This window comes from Homo sapiens, chromosome X (genome assembly GCF_000001405.40).
Source record: "Homo sapiens chromosome X, GRCh38.p14 Primary Assembly".
Lineage (NCBI taxonomy): Eukaryota > Metazoa > Chordata > Mammalia > Primates > Hominidae > Homo > Homo sapiens.
The window spans coordinates 19761465-19781486 of NC_000023.11; the positions used below are offsets into that span (position 1 = coordinate 19761465).

A 20022-nucleotide genomic window follows, 5' to 3' on the forward strand; every position below is an offset into this window, starting at 1 on the left:
TATATTCTTGCTTCAATATTCAATATCAACATTGCTACATTAATGAAAACATTAAGTATAGATTAAAGCAAAACCTGAGATATGTGCATATAGAGAAAAGCTGAAGTCCTCAACTACCATGATAGTTAAGAGATCATATCTAGAATCGACAAACCAAGAGAGCAGCAATGAATATTATTCAGAAGCACAGCAGCAAATAGTAGAAGCAACAGCTAGAACTGAAGAACGACTGCCTCCTAGAATATAAGGACACAAAGAGAAGGGACAAGAGGCTGCTGGGTACTCACACATCTTTTAGCAGCATATGACTTTCAAAACTGTGTGTGGGTAACCACTCAAAAATTAATAATTAAAGGTATACATGTTCATTCCAAAAAATACATAACAAGAGGACACAAATGGACTCTTACTATGTGTGCTATACTGCAACTTGCTTTCTTCAACTTAACAATGCATCTTAGACAACTTCTCCATCAGAGCTTTGCCCCTCTTCCTCATAGCTGCACAGAATCCAACTGTAGGATAGACCAGTATCAAAAGGGACAGTCTGGTTGTGTCTGAAAGTAGATTTTGGAACACGGAAGTGAAACTGCCTTTGCGAAAATTAAAACTGAGGAAATTATGACAATGAAAGAGATCAGACCTAACCGACTCCATCTTGCTTCTAACCTTTAAGCTGTCCCTGTTCGTTCCTGGGCGTAGGCCGAACTAACCTTGGAAAAGAATTTAGTTTACGGTTTGACTGTAAAACAAAATTGATAATAGCCCTTTCCAGAAAAGACCCTCTTCTTGCCTGGGGACCAGTATGCCTTTGGAGGGCTAAGAAATTAGCTGCAAGATTAGAAATTACAGTTTAGGGGTCATGCAGCTCCTGGCAAGAGTCTGAACCTCCCCAAATTGCTCCTGGGGATAACATCACTACTGTAAAACCTAAGATCAGTGCTTGAGGTATTTTGCAGACCCTCTACTAGATCAGCTGACACCATCCAGACTGGTAAACTGGCTCAACCAGTTGTGCGATCCCACCCAGGAACATAAGATAGCAAGGAAACCTAACTTTGACCCCCACTATGATTCCATCTCCAACCTGACCTGAATCAGCACTACCCACTTCCCAAGCCCTACCTGCCAAATTATCTTTAAAAATTCCAATTCCTTGAGTAATAATAAAACTCTGGTCTCCCACACAGCCAGCTCTGCAGGAATTACTCTTTCTCCACTGCAATTCCCCTGTCTTGATAAATCGGCTCTGTCTAGGCAGCAGGCAAGGTGAATCAGGTGAGCTGCGTTATTTGTCACCATACCACAGATGAAGGCACAACAGTTGTCCTCATTGGCTCTTCTGAAATGCTCATGGAAAAAAGATTTGTGGCACAGCAAACTTTGGCTGTTTCTGAGATCTGGCAAAATCTCCCTTGCCATTTAGACCACTGGAAACCTGCGAGTGGAGATTGGTATCTGGGATATACCTTTTATATATACCTCATACGCTCCTGCCTGAGGCAATCTCCTTTCTAAATTTCTGTATCCTTGGCTGGTTAAACGGGTAACTTATTTGAATCTTGCTGGGTAGGAGATAGTTCTCTTCTCACAGAACTATAACCCACATGAAACCACCCAGTTGTCTCAAGTCCTCTGCGATTACAAACAACACTACATTGAGCATCACTGTGCCCATAACTCTGCACATATACCACAAAGGCAACTGAGGGACAAATTCCCTAGAGTGAAATTTCTGGGTCAACAACTTGGTGCATCCTTACTTTTAGCAGATAATAAAAAACTGGCCTCCAAAAAATTTATCAATTACACTCCCACCAATAGCATGGAAGAGAGCTGATTTCCCCATACTATTTTTAAATGTCTTCATTTTTGCCAATCTGATAACAGGAGATGATATTTAATTTGCATTTCTTTAATTAGTAAAAAATAAGGTTGAACAGCTTTCCATATGCTTACCGTTATCCACTTGTCTTTTTCTGTGATGAGCTTACTCATGTCTTTTGTCAATTCTCCTACATAGCATCCTGCTTTTCCCTCTCATTTCTAATAGCTCTCTGTATATAAAAGAAGTGCCCCTGGGGCTGTCATATGTGTTGCAGAATTTACCTGTTTGTCATTTGTCTGTTTATTCTATTAATTCTATCTCTGTCCATACAGAAGTCTCTAATTTCTATGTAGTAAAATCAATCAATCTTTTCCCTTAGGTCTTTCAGATTTGTGACATGATTGCAAAGGCCTTCCCACTCAAAGATTATTTTAAAAGTACAAAGTAGGCCGGGCACGGTGGCTCATGCCTGTAATCCCAGCACTTTGGGAGGCCAAGGTGGGCAGATCTCTTGAGGTACGGAGTTCGAGACCAGCCTGGGTAACATGGTGAAACCCCGTCTACACAAAAAACACAAAAACTAGCTGGACACAGTGGCATGCACCTGTAGTCCTAGCTACTCAGGAGGCAGGAGGACCACCTGAGCCCAGGAGGTGGAGGTTGCAGTGAACTACAATTGCCCACTGCATTCCAGCCTGGGTGACAGAGCAAGACTCTGTCTCAAAAAAAAAAAAAAAAAAAAAGTACAAAATACCCATTTTTTCTAATAATTTTATGGCAAAAGTTAATGCACATTATTAGAAGGCCTCTCATTTCCCACCTGCTCCCCACTTCAAAAAAAGAAACACCCAGAAGCCCAATTTAGAATAACTCACATGGGGAATTACAAGGCCCTGATTTTAGGAGCCTGGTTTCCAAAGCTTAGGTTTGGGGGTGAGGAAGCATTTCAGAGTGGGAAATGCCCACTGATCAGAGCTAACACAGAAATTTCTTCATTTGTGCTTAGAAATATCTGCGTTTATTTAGCTTAAAGAGAAATAATGTTAATAAACAGGTTAACAGGTCATGACTAAATTTGGTCATTTCTTCTCAAAACAGACTGCCCATCTACCAAGAACAGGATCCAAATTTCCCCTGACTCTGACCCCTGTCTGGATTCTATAAGCACTCCTGACTCTACTCCATCATGGGACCTGGCAACAAATACCCAGAGGCCCCCAGAAGTGACACTAAAACCTTGAGGACACTATTCCTTAGCAGCCCCACAATGACAGGGAAGGGAAACGTTTTCTAAAAAGCCTTTTCCTAGGTTTAACCCTATGGCTTCTAGGACACAGCATCAGGGGAACAGAATAAAAGGCGATGGTGCATTATCATTAAATCTTTTAGCCACAATTACTAAGTGCCTTAATATATATCAAGTCCTATGTCGGGGGTAGTGTTAAAGATGGCCACTGCTACCTAGGGTCTCACCATCTAGGAAGGCTGGAACTCTGAGTGGAGTGGACATGCGCTCCAACTCTTTTTTTTTTTTTTAGACTGAGTCTTGCTCTGTTGCCAGGCTGGAGTGCAGTGGTGCGATCTTGGCTCACAGCAACCTCTGCCTCCCGGGTTCAAGCGATTCTTCTGCCTCAGCCTCCTGAATAGCTGGAACTACAGGCTGTGCCACCATGCCCAGCTAATTTTTGCAGTTCTTTTTTTTTTTTTTTTTTTTTTTTTTTTAAGTAGAGACGGGGTTTCACCATGTTGGCCAGGCTGGTCTCCAACTCCTGACCTCAAGTGATCCGCCCACCTTGGCCTTCCAAAGTGCTGGGATTACAGGTGTGAGCCATCCTGCCTGGCCAGCTCCAGCTCTTAATCAGAGTTCCAGTCACTTCGTGACCATGCACAAGGTCCTAACCTCTCTGAACTGAATAGTCCTTAGTAATAGTTTCTTACCACTGCTCTAACAGATTACCAAAAACTTGGCGACTTAACCCAAAGTTAGTATCTCACAGTTCTGGAGGTTAGAAATCCAGAAACTGTCTTACTGGGCTAAAATGGAGGTGTTGGCAGGCTGCATTCATTCAGGGGCTGTAGGAGAGGAGGTTCTCCCACCCTTTCCAGCCTCTAGGGGTTACCTGCATTCCTTAGCTTGTATTCCCTTCCTCCATCTTCGAGGCCAGCAGTATAGCATCTTCAATGCTCGCTCTCTCTCTGACCTCTGCTTCTATCATCACTAACTCTGATCTTACTGCCTCCCTTTTTAAAAAAAATTTTTTTTAATTGTGGTAAATACACGTTACATAAAATTTAACATCTTAACAGGTTTAAACTACACAGTTCAGTAGTGTTAAGTACAGTCACATTGTGCAAAAGATCATCAGATTTCTTTTCCTCTTGCAAAACTGAAAAAGAAGCTCTGTACCCATTAAACAACTCCTTTCTCCCCTCCCACCAGCTCCTGGCAACCAGCAGTCCATTTTCTGTCTCTGTAAAGTTGACTTTAGATACCTCATATAGGTTAAGTCATACAGTATTTGTCCTTTTGTGACTGGCTTCTGTCACTTAGCATAATGTATCAAGGTTCAACCGCATTGTAGCATGTGTCAGAATTTCCTTCTTTTGAGGCAGAATGATATTCTGTTGTATAGACACTTGGGTTGCTTCCACCTTTTGCCTTCTGTGAATACTACTGTGCACATGGGTGTATAATATCTCTGAGACCCTGCTTTCAATTCTTTTGGATATATACCCAGAAGTAAAATTGCTAGATCATATGGTAATTCTATTTTTAATTGTTCAAGGAACTGCCACATTGTTTTTTATGGTAGCTACACCATTTTACATCCCCACCGACAGTATATAAAGGTTTCAATTGTTCCACATCCTCACCAACACTTGTTGTTTTTTCTTTTTTTATAGCAGCCATCCTAATGGGTATGAGGTGCAATCTCACTGTGATTTTGATTTGCATTTCCCTGATGGTCAGTGATGTTGAGCATCTTTTCATCTGCTTGTTGGTCATTGGTATGTCTTCTTTGGAAAACTGTCTATTCAAGTCCCTTGCCCATTTTGAATTGGGTTATTTGTTTTGTTGTTGAGTTGTAGGAGTTCTTTATAGATTCTGGATATTAACCCCTTATCAGATATATGATTTGAAAATATTTTCTCCATTGTTCAGATTGCACTTTGAGTCTGTTGATTGCATCTTTTTTTTTTTTTTTTTTTTTTTTTTTTTTTTTTTTTTTGAGACAGAGTCTTGCTCCGTCGCCCAGGCTGGAGTGCAGTGGCACAATCTCGGCTCACCGCAAGCTCCGCCTCCCAGTTTACACCATTCTCCTGCCTCAGCCTCCCGAGTAGCTGGGACTACAGGTGCCCGCCACCAGGCCTGGCTAATTTTTTGTATTTTTAGTAGAGATGGGGTTTCACCATGGTCTCGACCTCCTTACCTCGTGATCCACCCGCCTCGGCCTCCCAAAGTGCTGGGATTACAGGCATGAGCCACCACGCCTGGTCCGATTGTATCTTTTGATGTACGGAAGTTTTACATTTTGATGTTGTCTAATTTATGTATTTTTGCTTTTGTTGCCCATGTGCTTCCCTCTTATAAGGACCCTTGTGATTCTAATCCAAAATCCTTAACCATATCTGCATCGTAAGGTAAACACTCACAGGTTCTGAAGATTAGAACGTGGACACCTTTGAGGGGCCATTATTCTGCCTACCATAGTCCTTATCCTTAAAATGAGAATAGTAGTATCTAATTCAAAGAGTTATGACAACAAAATAAAATAGCACATGAACTGAGCTTAGAACAGTGCCTGGCATACAGTAAATATTAGCAATTGTCATTAACATAAAACAAAGTGTTATAGGAAAAGAGACAGGTGTGGCTAAGGGTACTGGTAAGAACAGAAGCTAAGGCCATTCATTCTGCCTGGGAAAACTCTTTCCAAAAGGGACAAGACACCAACTTGATCATAAGAAATGAGTAGAATTTAGAAGGTCTGAAAAGAGCAAGCCAGGAGGGAAAATTCCAAATTTTCTCCCACATTCTGACATTGGCATTAACATCCCAGAAATCTTGTTTCTTTCCTAAGAAGCCACATCTGCTTTTTGACAGTAGCTGTGAGGTGATTTTCTTTATTTATAAGGAAACATGCTCAGCTGAATTTCTGAGTCTTAATAAACAATTCACAAACTTTTTCCCAGCAAACTATTTTTAGAGTAGAAAGGGATTTTTTTTTAAAGAAGCAGCTCGTATTTATAAAATTTGTCCTGAAAGCTTAAAAATAGATCCAAAAGTTTAGCACCAGCCCTGTCCCACCCTCATCACTCAGTACCAGAAAGGCAGACACAGCATGCCTTTGTGAGTCCTCTGGGACTCTGATTTTTTAAAGTTAACCCCTGCTAATCTCCCTTCCCCTGGAACGTGCACAGTAAATGGCAGGTGAACAGAATAATGAAAGAAAATAATCACTTATTGATGTTCTTCTCATTTCTCCTTGCAGACATGCTGGGAAGCTGCGATAATTAACTGGCTGAAATATAGAACAATTTCTCAACTTGCCCTTGTCCTCTAATGATCAACATCCTCCCTCCCCCCACACCAGTAGAGTAGCTTAGCTTTAGTTCAAGCAGAACTTCGGTGGTTCTGTTGACTTGGAAGTTAATTTGCTCTGAACCCAGAGCACACGGGAAAACCTGACAAATGAAAATGCAGAATGGTTTTAGGTCACACACAGGAAACCTGTCAATACCAAGGCACCACATGGGTATCAGTTTTCTAATGGACTGCAAACACAATGCACAGACACACAAAATACACACACTGGCTGCAACTTAATGAGAATTTTACCCAGACACAAACGCAGATGAACAGAATGGCAGGATCTATTACCCTCCTCAGCTATCTTGTTGCTGTCTGTCCATTTAAGCCAGTCAGCTATTACCACCCTGGCTCAGCAATAAGACAGCACCTCCAAAAGGTTAAATATGGAAAGGGCGTGTGGGTGACTGTTTTAAGCCTCCATGACATGTTGAAGGGGGAAAAAAAGCACACAGCAATATCTGGGGTTCAGCCCAAGTTAATCGGATCATTCTACAATTCACACCTCGCCTTATAAATGAGAGATTTGAATTCAATACATTCCATCCACAACCCTAATAACCACTCAGGGGGAGGCTAAACTCCACCTAACGCCACTGACTCAGCCACACAACCAAATGGCACATACCATGGGCATCCTAGATACACCAAACAATTTCAGCTGGCATTTAATTTATCTTGGAGCTAGATAATACAGGCAAAGAACTGTGATCTTTTTGAAGGAAAAGAAATAGATACAAACTATTTATTGTGGTGTCTATGTTTAGGAGAAACAGGAAATGCTGAGTTTTCAACATGAAATAGATGTTCACAATAGGAAGATTAAAATTCAGTCAAAATTTTCCAAGACTGACCCCCAAGTTTGCATCCTTTCATCAGTAATCCCATGGTCTGATTTATGGGTGAACATATGAGTACACATTAATTATTTCAGAAATTTCTAAAATGTAGCTGTTGGAGGCATTCAGGTTGAAAAGACAGAACTGACATTTTAATCTTGTTTTCCTGTCTGGCCAAATTCAGTGTACACACACACACACATTTGGGTTTTTTTTTTTAAATTAGTAAGATCTTTGTTCTTATTCCATGTAAAGTGTCCTGTCCTGAAATAGAGACACCTCCTGTTAAGCAGAAGGAGGTTTTCACTTTATAATAGCATATTGAGCAATATTATTATACAGCTGCGTTATAATTTTTTTTTTTTTTTTTTTTTTGAGACAGGGTCTAGCTCTGTCACTCAGGCTAGAGTACAGAGCAGTGGCTCGATCTCAGCTCACTGCAACCTCCACCTCCCAGGCTCAAGCAGTCCTCCCATCTCAGCCTTCTGAGTAGCTGGGACTACAGGCATGCACCACCATGCCCGGCTAATTTTTGTCTTTTTCTTCTTTTTCTTTTTTTTTCGTAGAGACAGGGTCTCGCCAAGTTGCCCAGGCTGGTCTTGAACTCCTGGACTCAAGCAATCCACCCAGTTTGGCCTCCCAAAGTGCTGGGATTACAGGTGTGAGCCACCACACCAGGCCTTATAATTTATTTTCATTGCAAATAGTCATGGCATAATTTTGCTCCTTTTCAAAGCAATATTATTGTTGATTTAGCATCACTTGCCAAACAAACAAAAAGAAATTCTGTCTTAACTACCTTCCAGCCATGACTTTACTCATGATATAACATACTCAAAATGCACATGGGGCACTTCATGTTTTTCTCAAGTAGAAGATGTTTAATACAATGTGTGGTTGTAATAAGCCACAAGATTGAACTCTCACGTTGCAGTTTGAGTACTGGAGCAGTAAAGATTAATCAGACTGCTAAAAAAAATCTAACTTAATGCAGCCATTGGTTTTAACTCCGGATTTTCTCTCTAGTCAATATGACAGAACCTTCCTAAATGGCAGATAAGTCATCTAGTATCACAGAATCATAAAATCAGAGATCAAAGTCCAGAAGTTTATTCTTTCCAAGTTCTCATGCTAAACTCTGACTGTAAGACTTTTGGCCCACAATCCCCCACTCCTTTTGTGTCACAGCTGATTCTTGAAAATATCGCTTAAAATGTCTACACACAGTATAACCAAGGGTTCTCACTCTCGGATTCATGGACAAACATCTGAATCTAAAAATGGGCAAAGGTTATGAATAAATAGTTCAAAGAAGAACCATATATGGCCAACAGACATACGAAAATAATGTCACTAAGTGCAGGTTTGTTATATAGGTAAACTAGTGTCATGAGGGTTTGTTGTACAGATTATTTCGTCATCCAGGTACCAAGCCTAGTACTCAATAGTTATTTTTTCTGCTCTTCTCCCTCCTTCCACCCTCTACCCTTAAGTAGGCCCCCATGTCTGTTCCCTTGTGTCCATGTGTTCTCATCCTTTAGCTCCCACTTATAAGTGAGAACATGCGGTATTTGGTTTTCTGTTCCTGTGTTAGTCTGCTAAGGATAATGGCCTCCAGCTCCATCCGTGTTCCCACAAAAGACATGATCTCATTCTTTTTTATGGCTGCATAGTATTCCATGGTGTATATATACCATATTTTCTTTATCCAATCTATCACTAATGGGCATTTAGGCTGATTTCATGTTTTTGCTATTGTGAAGAGTGTGGCAATGAACATACTTGTGCGTGTGTCTTTATGGTAGAATGACTTATATTCCTTCGGGTATATACCCAGTAATGGGACTGCTGGGTCGAATGGTAGTTCTGTTTTTAGCTCTTTGAGGAATTGCCACACTGCTTTCCACAGTGGTTGAACTAATTTACATTCCCACCAAGAGTGTATAAGTGTTCCCTTTTCTCTGTAACCTTACCAGCATGTTATTTTTTTTTTTTTTACTTTTTAATAATAGCCATTCTGACTGGTGTGAGATGGTACCTCACTGTGGTTTTGATATGCATTTCCCTAATGATCAACGATATTGAGCTTTTTTTCATATTCTTGTTGGTCACATGCAGGTCTTCTTTTAAAAAGTGTCTGTTCATGTCCTTTGCCCACTTTTTAATGGCTTTTCTTGTAAATTTAAGTTCCTTACACGTGCTGAATATTAGACCTTTGTCAGGTGAATAGTTTGCAAATATTTTCTCTCATTCTGTAGGTTGTCTGTTTACCCTGTTGATAATTTCTTTTGCTAACATACTGAATTTTTAAGGTTTATTTTACCCAGGGAATGGGGGGTTGAGCCTTCTCCTACATTACTGTGAGAGTCTGATGTGGCACACTTTGGTGAAGACCAGTTGGCAATATGGATTATAGGCCAAAAAGAAAAAAACAACAACACCGCTCATATTCTAAACCCAGTAACTCTACTTATAAGGACTTATCTAGGGAAGTAATCACAGATGTGCTTCAAAGAGGATTTAAAGTATGTCCAAAATTTTTTCTTTATAAGAAAATTAGAGCAATCTAAGCTATTAACAATTGGGGCAGTATAAGGTAGGTCTATGTGCTTTCAAAGTTGGCTACTGAGTGTGACCAGGATCCCTAGGAGGCCTCAAAGCTATGGGGAGGGTAACCGTAAACTGCAACATTGACAAGATATAGCCTGGGCTCCCCACTCCTGCCTCAATGGTGGTGCAGCTCTGCTTGAAGCTCTCTGGTCTTTGAGGAAAGGGTTCTGCAACTTTAAAAAACTTGAAAAACATTACTGATGTTGTAGAAAATTAAGTAACTTAGTATTACACTTAAAAATTGGTTACAGCTGGGCACGGTGGCTCATGCCTGTAATTCCAGCACTTTGGGGGGCCAAAGCGGGCAGATCGCCTGAGGCCAGGAGTTCAAGATCAGCCTGGCCAACATGGTGAAATCCCATCTCTACTAAAACTACAGAAATTAGCCAGGCATGGTGGTGCGCACCAGTAATCCCAGCTACTCAGGAGGCTGAGGCAGGAGAATTGCTTGAACCCAGGAGGCAAAGGTTGCAGTGAGCTGAGATTCTGCCATGGCACTCCTGCCTGGGCGACAAAAGCGAAACTCCGTCTCAAAAAAAAAAAAAAAAAATTGGTTACAATTTTCTGTTGTGTATTTCACCACAATTAAAACAAAAAAAAAAACTTCTTATAAAACACCACCTACCATATGATTCCATTTTTGTAGAAAAATAACAAACACATATCAGGCTTACAACAAACGACTGGCTAGAAAATGAATTATCTTTCTGGTTCCTGCCTGCATTTTACAAATTTTAAGTATACACATTATTTAAGAAAAAAAATACTTGTGTTGGTGGTTTAAAAAAAAGGAAATTCATGACATTTGCTCAAGTGGAAGAGGAAAAAGAGAAAAACAGTTGGGAAAATACCTTAGAAAAGTCATTTAAATTATTGCCAATGATGGTGTCCTCTTTAAAAACTCAGTTATTACCAACAATAAGAGAGTCTGTTCATCTTCTGGGAGCGCTGTTAGGGGAAATCCACTGGTACAGCTGAAGAGTAATCTTTCAGTAAAGGGAGTTAGCACCACCTTTAACAGCTTTGGGAAGCTTTGTGACCTTCAAAGCAGAACCAAAGAGAGAAAGAAATGGAAGGAGGGAGGTCAAATGAAAGCTAGCAATCAGAAAAAAATAAGGCCCAAACAGCCTGGGGCCAGTTTTTGTTTTTTGTTTTTTTTTAGAAGAAAATTCGAGGCCTAATAAGGGCGATTTCCTCAGCTTCCTGAGTCACCACCCATGCTCCCCCCATTTCCTCTCCGTTCCAACATTGAACATGAAAATTAACTGGAGCTGTAAAAATCATTCCCAGGGAGAAGAGTTTCTGCAGTAGAGAAAGTCAAAGGAAGCATTCAGAATTCTAGGAATATCCCATGGAGATGGGCGAGGACAAATGTAATGCAAAGTGAAAAGTGTGTGGGTGGTTTGTCAGGGAAAAGGGTCGGGAGGAGGATGTAAACCACAAATTAAACACGATTCTAAAACTTCCAGCTGGCTCTTCCTCCTCATCTTCCCCCACTCTTGTGACAGGTGTGACAAGATCATGAGAAAACCTGTTCACTGTGTGGGGCTTTGGGGCACACCCATTTTTGCTAAGTGTAACCTTTCTGCAACTTGTAAGAAACCATATGTGGCATTGACCCAGGCCAGTGTGCTCCATCTGGCAAGTGTTTCTGGGGTAGCCCGTTTACAGCGAGTGGGAGAGGCAGACCCATAGACACAGAAAAACAGAACCCCCATACACAGAGACACTGATGCACAAGCATAGAGACTCACATAGAGAATACAGATAGGCACACAGACACAAATAGGAGAGAAACCCATAAGAAGAGATCTCCCAGCCTCCAGGGTGGCCCATGACACAGGTAGCCTTAGTAGCTGTGTTTCATTCCTCCTTCCACCTCTGGCTCTCCGAGCTGTCACTCATCCCAGAGGTTCCTTTGTCCTAGATCACAACTTGCTCTTTGGAATTGTACCTCACTTCAAATTATTCAAATTTAGCACAATGTATATTTGTATTTTCTAAAACCGTAAATCCACAGGTTTGTGTGCATATCTGAGTCATCTGCATTCACTAGTCTCTTACCTACTGCTTTCACAGATGTGGGCTCATACTTCTGAACTCAAATGCAAATTTTCTCAAGCAATTCAGTCTCTGTCTCTCTCTCTCTCTCACACACACAAACACACACACACACACACACACACACACGTGCATGCACACACAGACACACACACACCCCCCTATAAGAATCATCATTTTCAGCCAGGCGCAGCGGCTCACGCCTGTCATCCCAACACTTTGGGAGGCTGAGACAGGCGGATCACAAGGTCAGGAGACTGAGATCATCCTGGCTAACACAGTGAAACCCCATCTCTACTAAAAATACAAAAAATTAGCCAGGCGTGATGGTGGGCGCCTGTAGTCCCAGCTACTTGGGAGGCTGAGGCAGGAGAATGGCGTGAACCCGGGAGGCGGAGCTTGCAGTGAGCCAAGATCTCACCACTGCACCCCAGCCTGGGCGACAGAGCGAGACTCCGGCTCGAAAAAAAAAAAAAAAAAAAAAAAAAAAAAAGAATCATCATTTTTCTGGACTGGTGTCTCCTTCCCAGGTCCTCACTGATGGTGCCACTGTCACTGTGTGAAAGGCATGTGGCTCTGGGGAGAAGAAGCTCATGTCCTGAGAACACCCTGTCACCCTTTCATAGAAAACGGAATTAGCAGCTGTTTGTCAGCATTTGCAAATGTTACATGGCTTGAAAAGGCAGAATTCTGGGAACTCAGTAGCTGCCCTGTCACCAAGGTCAAATGGTCCTCATGGCTCAAAAACTCTCCCAGCCCTCCTATAGGGTCTTTTTTGACTGTCTTTTTTTTAGGGCTTCACCCTGATTTTATCCTTTTCCTCCTATTTCTGGTATGAAATAAAAGTACTTGATTTCCTACTCTGTAATGTGTGCTTTGGTTTTCATCTTACCTTTTATAAACAACTGTTTGAGCAAAATAAAAATACATCTTTGCATAGATCCTTTGGTTAATCTTCAGTGATGCTCACTTGGTTAACTTTTAAGAAACCTAAGCCGCCGGGCGCGGTGGCTCACACCTTTAATCCCAGCACTTTGGGAGGCTGAGGCGGGCGGATCACGAGGTCAGGAGATCGAGACCATCCTGGCTAACACGGTGAAACCCCGTCTCTACTAAAAATACAAAAAATTAGCCAGGCGTGGTGGCAGGCGCCAGGAGTCCCAGCTACTCAGGAGGCTGAGGCAGGAGAATGGCGTGAACCCAGGAGGCGGAGCTTACAGTGAGCCGAGTTCACGCCACTGCACTCCCCTGTCTCAAAAAAAAAGAAAGAAAGAAAGAAAGAAAGAAAGAAAGAAAGAAAGAAAGAAAGAAAGAAAGAAGAAACCTAAGGAAATTCTAGTTTATACTGCCTTCCCCAATAAATATGGGGGGTTTATTAACTTTATTAACACATAGAAAAATGAATCCTCAGCTTTACATTTTAAAAATTATATTCTTTAAATTACAGAGAAATCCAAAAAGGTTTAACTAGACAAAAAAAGTAATCATCAAAGGGGTCTTCCTACTTTACAAAGCTAGACCCCCACACCTGGCCAGACCTTCTATGAGAGCATCAAGGCTTCTGAGGGGAGCGCATTGGTCCCCTCATTCTCCTCCCCCAAGCCCTCTCTGTTTAGTAGTGTCACACAGACTTTTCACAAAGGATTTGTCACCAGTCCACAGATCACAGTCTCTGGAAATTCCACCTGTGGTTTGACATCAGGGGACTTTATCAGACTGGAGGGCAGAAACCATCCAAACTGACTTGAGGCAAAATCTCTCCACAGGTCTTCACGAGTACACAACAAGAATTCTGAAATTGAGGCCCTGTAACATCCACTCTGTTCCATCAGCCTCACTGAGGTAAAGTACCACACCAATGTCAAAAGCTCCAAACACACCAGGAAAGCCGACGACATCACAGAACTAGAGAAATGTTTCTCATCTCAAATGTTCACTTGGTTTCTAAACAAATCTAAATATTGGGTGGGCTTGGTTTGCTTTCAATTAACTGCTCTTATTTAGCCTGTAAGCCTTTTCTGGAAAGTCTTCCCCCACATTTTCAACTATTGATTTAAACATCAAGCCTCGTTCAATGTTTCTCACAAAATATTAGCACTGTATCTTACACTCACGTGCCTGCTTACTCTAACTCACTCATTACCAGGGAAAATTGAGTGCCAACATTAACTCTAAATGGAAGAATTAGTTGTATTAGTCCAGGATTGACTCCAGTCCATTAATAAACCACACAACTAATTAGTCCTTGGTCTATTTGGAGTACGCAGGCCCTGGACACCATCATCCTGCATCATGGACACCACCGCTCCTCTGCTCTGTGTCTAATTCATCTTTTTCAGAGACTTACCCCTATTCATGCTTCTTAATGAGCCAAAGGCACTAAAGATCTGCTTTAAATGGCCTTTCAGGAAAATTACCTTCTCGATTACAGCTAGGAAAGTATCTTAGCAGCTGTGTTTTCACTGAAACAGCCATAATATCAGAAGATTTGCAAGCTACTTCACATTTATTATCCCCCATTGATATTTAATAATTCTACTTGCAAGTACCACAGCCTAATTTGTCCCTTGCAAATTGCCAAGAATAAGATGTTGTCCTCATCCCATGGTGTCCGCAGGGAGCTCGCCTGATATTTAGCACAAATGTGACTAGCCCAAAGGACAACAGAGTGTGCCAAGAATTCATTCCCCCATCCCCCAAAAGGAATTGGCTACTACAGCTAGCTTACAGGAAAGAAAGACCTCAGAAGATACTTTCCTCAAAATGCTCTAAAGTCAGAAGTCTCAAAATAACATGTCAATGTCCACGCTTCCACATGTGAGCCATAAGCGCCCTGTGCTGTTGGAGGAAATCTGATGTGGAAATGTTTTATGGCCTGAGATTCTTGCTCAAGTGGCCTAGCAGGGCCTAAGAGAAGATGCTGGGGGAGAAATGAAAGCAGGAGGGAAAGACTGCCTCACAGATTCAACTCCCTGGAGAAAACCCTCAAAAAGAGTGGGAGTGGATGAGGTATCCACTGGGCAGTGATGTCCCTGGGCCAACAGACAACAGAATTAAGTCTATATCAAGCAGAATCCCATGGAAAAAATAAAAGAATTTTTTTTAAAAAAAGAATTCTAAATCTAGCTTGACAACCTGGTTTTTTTTTTTTTTTTTTTTTTTTTTTTAGAGAGAGACAGGGTCTCACTCTGTCACCAAAGCTGGAATTCAGTGGCATGATCATAACTCATTGTAATCTCAAACTCCTGGGCTCAAGTGATCCTCCCACCTCAGCCTACTGAGTAACTGGGACCACAAGCGCACACCACCATGTCCAGCTAATTTTTTCTTTTTAATTTTTTGTAGAGACAAGGTCTTGCTACGTTTCCCAGGATGGTCTCAAACTCCTGGCCTCAAGTGATCCTCCTGCCTCAGCCTCCCAAAGCACCAGGATGACAGGTGTGAGCCACTGCACCCAGCTGACAGCCTAGCTCTTTAAGCCACTTCCTCTCTTAGTTTTCACAGACACCCTCACCATCCTGAATATTTTAACATACCTCTGATTTAAACCAAACCACCAACCGCCTGCCACCTGAATCTGTACTGAAAGACCACACAACCACCCCAAGACTGGAAAGACACATTAAAAGATCACTGAGCAAGACAAACTTGAATGAAGATTTCCTCCATCTCCCTTAACCCTCTCCAGCTGCCATCAGTTGTCTTTAAGCCTTTGAGGATAAAAAAGGTATGCCCTTGAGCCTCCAAATGACAATGCAATTTGAGGAACCACAGTCCACTCCCCATTTCACTAAGGACTGCAGCTTCCACCAGCAACTGGCCAGGGCTGTGTGCTACAGGGTCAAGTGGGAGGGTTAGACACAGAGCCTGGAGCCAAAGGGATCCTTCCAGAAGAAACTGCCCTGCCCTAAATACAGGGGAAAATCCCACCAAGAGGAGAGGAGAGGAAGTCAACAGAAAGGGCCAGGGCTGAAAGGTTATAATGTTCAGTACAGCCTTGGGCCAGCTGAAACACAAAGGCATGTGGCAGGCTGAGGCCCCAGCCTGCCCATACCTGCTGGCTTTCTGGATGAGTTCCTGTGAAGCCTTAAGGACCTGGGGCTCTGTTTTTAACCCCCTAGTTCTCACCCCCACTACTTGAAGGAATTTGAATGAGCCACTGCTTCTTATACTCTGAAGGGCCTGTCTAAAGCTGCATTCATTGGTGGAACAGGCACACACCACTGCTAGGCGCTACCCCTAGAAGTCTGGACGGGCTCCCTAGATGCAAGGGTCTCAAACACACCAGTCCTCCAGCGCCTTATTCTGCCTACTTGGAAGCAATTGCAGGGGAAGAGGGGCAATGAGGGGTGGGCCAGAGCAGTAGTTCTCAAAGTGGAGTTCCACACCAGCAGCATCACCAGAGAACCTGTTAGAAATGCAGACTCTCTGGCCCCAGCCCAGACTATTGAACTAGAAGGCATGGGGTGGGGTCCAGCAGTCGGTGTTTGAGCAAGCCCTCCAGGAGGTTCTAACGTATGCTCTGGTGTGAGAGTCACCACCCAGAGAAACAAAAAAGGTTGAGGCTACAGGAGGGGCCGAGATCCTCTGGAGCAGCTGGCTGGATCCCACCCCGTGTGGGGGCAGGGATTCCTTCATATCCTACTCCTCCAGGAAGAAAAAAAAGCTGGAGGAAACACTTCCTTCTCATCAGGAAACACTATAGCAGTGGAAAGCTCAGAGAACACAGCAGTGCAGAAAATGAAAGGGGAAAATTCGGCCGGGTGCGGTGGCTCACACCTGTAATCCCAGCACTTTGGGAGGCCAAGGCGGGTGGATCACGAGGTCAGGAGTTCGAGACCAGCCTGGCCAAGATGGTGAAACCCTGTCTCTACTAAAAATACAAAAATTAGCTGGACACGATGGCGGGCGCCTGTAATCCCAGCTACTTGGGAGGCTGAGGCAGGAGAATTGCTTGAACCCAGGAGGCTGAGGTTACAGTGAGCCGAAATTGTGCAACTGCACTCTAGCCTGGGAGACAGAGCAAGACTCCATCTCAAAAAAAAAAAAAAAAAGAAAAGAAAAAAAGGGGAAAATTCAGACTTACCCTCTCCTTGGAACTCACTCAATTCCTCCTTGACCTAAGGAGCCTGGCAATCGGGCAGATACGAAGTGAATACACAAGTCCCGACCTCTTCACATACTTCCCAAGGATCTGAGAACTAGGAAGGCCAGTAAATATTCAAGAGACTACAATCCTTGTGAAAAGTGGGAAAACGGAATCGAAAGGCCAGTAGGTGTGATCTGAGGAAGGTATCGTCACTCCCATGACTGACTTTCCACCTATGAGGAGTAGTGTGCTACAGATAGTTGAAGCAGCAGGGGCTTCCAGGAGTGACACATTGGGCTGCTTTACAAGGGCAGAACCGACTAGTGGAGGTTGGAAATTGAGTAAGGATAAAATTACAACAGATAAGAAAGTGATTACATGTGGGTCCAGCATTTTGTTCCTTTCTATTTCACCGCTGCTCAGTAACAACCTACACTTCACTTTTTGATGCCATTGTCATTCACTCATTCATTCATTATTTGCTCATTCATTTTGTTCAACAATGAAACCAATGCTCAAGCAGATGGAGGTGGCTGGGTGCAGTGGCTCACACCTGTAATCCCAACCTTTTGGGAGGGCGAGGTGGGCAGATCACTTGAGCCCAGGAGTTTGAGACCAGACTGGACAATATGACAAAACCCTGTCTCTATAAAGAAAAGAAATTAAGGTAGCCAGGTGTGATAGTGTGCACCTGTAGTCCCAGCTACTTGGGAAGCTGAGGTGGGAGGATTGCTTGACCCCAGGAGGTCAAGGCTGCAGTGAGCCATGATTATACCTCTGCACTCCAGCCTGGGTGAGACAGCAAGACCCTGTCTCAAAAAAAAAAAAAAAAGGAGGAGGAGAAGGAGGTGAGAGTTAGCAAGATGTGCTAACATCATGTATTGGGGGTTCACATTTCCTATTATCTGCTTGGCTTTAGGTCTAGTTTCCAGGAAAACAGCACTTTATTTTTTTTTTATTATACTTTAAGTTTTAGGGTACATGTGCACATTGTGCAGGCTAGTTACATATGTATACATGTGCCATGCTGGTGCGCTGCACCCACTAACTCGTCATCTAGCATTAGGTATATCTCCCAATGCTATCCCTCCCCCCTCCCCCCACCCCACAACAGGCCCCAGAGTGTGATATTCCCCTTCCTGTGTCCATGTGATCTCATTGTTCAATTCCCACCTATGAGTGAGAATATGCAGTGTTTGGTTTTTTGTTCTTACAATAGTTGACTGAGAATGATGATTTCCAATTTCATCCATGTCCCTACAAAGGACATGAACTCATCATTTTTTATGGCTGCATAGTATTCCATGGTGTATATGTGCCACATTTTCTTAATCCAGTCTATCATTGTTGGACATTTGGGTTGGTTCCAAGTCTTTGCTATTGTGAATAATGCCGCAATAAACATACGTGTGCATGTGTCTTTATAGCAGCATGATTTATAGTCCTTTGGGTATATACCCAGTAATGGGATGGCTGGGTATATACCCAGTAATGGGATGGTATTTCCAGTTCTAGATCCCTGAGGAATCGCCACACTGACTTCCACAATAGTTGAACTAGTTTACAGTCCCACCAACAGTGTAAAAGTGTTCCTATTTCTCCACATCTTCTCCAGCACCTGTTGTTTCCTGACTTTTTAATGATTGCCATTCTAACTGGTGTGAGATGGTATCTCATTGTGGTTTTGATTTGCATTTCTCTGATGGCCAGTAATGATGAGCATTTTTTCATGTGTCTTTTGGCTGCATAAATGTCTTCTTTTGAGAAGTGTCTGTTCATGTCCTTCGCCCACTTTTTGATGGGGTTGTTTGTTTTTTTCTTGTAAATTTGTTTGAGTTCATTGTAGATTCTGGATATTAGCCCTTTGTCAGATGAGTAGGTTGCGAAAATTTTCTCCCATTTTGTAGGTTGCCTGTTCACTCTGATGGTAGTTTCTTTTGCTGTGCAGAAGCTCTTTAGTTTAATTAGATCCCATTTGTCAATTTTGGCTTTTGTTGCCATTGCTTTTGGTGTTTTAGACATGAAGTCCTTGCCCATGCCTATGTCCTGAATGGTATTGCCTAGGTTTTCTTCTAGGGTTTTTATGGTTTTAGGTCTAACGTTTTAAGTCTTTAATCCATCTTGAATTGATTTTTGTATAAGGTGTAAGGAAGGGATCCGGTTTCAGCTTTCCACATATGGCTAGCCAGTTTTCCCAGCACCATTTATTAAATAGGGAATCCTTTCCCCATTGCTTGTTTTTCTCAGGTTTGTCAAAGATCAGATAGTTGTAGACATGCGGCGTTATTTCTGAGGGCTCTGTTCTGTTCCATTGATCTATATCTCTGTTTTGGTACCAGTACCATGCTGGAAAACAGCACTTTAAATGACTGACTCCACTGATCAGTATTTACATATGCACTTTCTAAATTTTAGCAGTCTGTCTATAATTATTGTCTTATAATCAATTCCTAGAAATGGAATTACTGATACAGTAGATATAAAACTATACACAAATATTTCTATACAAAGATAATTATTGCAGCTTTATTTTCAAGGGCAAAAAAAGATGGGAAACAATGTCTGCCATGAAGTGGCTAGTTAAATAGATTGTGGTATATTCTTACAATGAGATTTAAAATGTTCTCAGAAGAGATATAATACTTTTGGGGAAGTGCTCATAATATATTAAGTGGACAAGGGATCAATATAGCAGATACAATGTACCAGTATGTCTAAGTCTAATATAGAGAATGCCTTGGGGATCTTGCTAAACTGCAGATTCTGCATTTCTAACAGGCTCCAGGTGATGGGATTGTCCTTCTCCATATTTTACAATCAGAAATGTTTTCTTAAGTTTTAAATAAAACTTTAGGCCAAGCATGGTGGCTCATGTCTGCAATCTCAGCACTTTGGGAGGCCAAGGTGGGAGGATCGCTTAAGTACAAGAGTTCTAGACCAGCCTAGGCAACATAGTGAAACCCGTCTAAACAACAACAACAACAAATTAGCCAAGCATAGTGGC

The 20022-nt window shown here is 42.2% G+C and overlaps 1 protein-coding gene across 21 annotated transcripts in view, besides 2 other annotated features; it reads right to left on the bottom strand.

Annotated features, from left to right (window-relative positions):
• The window catches only part of SH3KBP1 (SH3 domain containing kinase binding protein 1), a 353624-nt gene that overhangs the window by 227488 nt on the left and 106114 nt on the right, over nucleotides 1-20022 (bottom strand). The gene's annotated exons all lie outside the window — the stretch shown is intronic.
• Nucleotides 12378-12427: a silencer, noted in NCBI's record as "silent region_20687". NCBI's record gives its function as "represses an Ori minimal core promoter by ATAC-STARR-seq in GM12878 lymphoblastoid cells {active_cell/tissue: GM12878}" and the evidence as "EXISTENCE:reporter gene assay evidence [ECO:0000049][PMID:35858748]".
• Nucleotides 15499-15548: a silencer, noted in NCBI's record as "silent region_20688". NCBI's record gives its function as "represses an Ori minimal core promoter by ATAC-STARR-seq in GM12878 lymphoblastoid cells {active_cell/tissue: GM12878}" and the evidence as "EXISTENCE:reporter gene assay evidence [ECO:0000049][PMID:35858748]".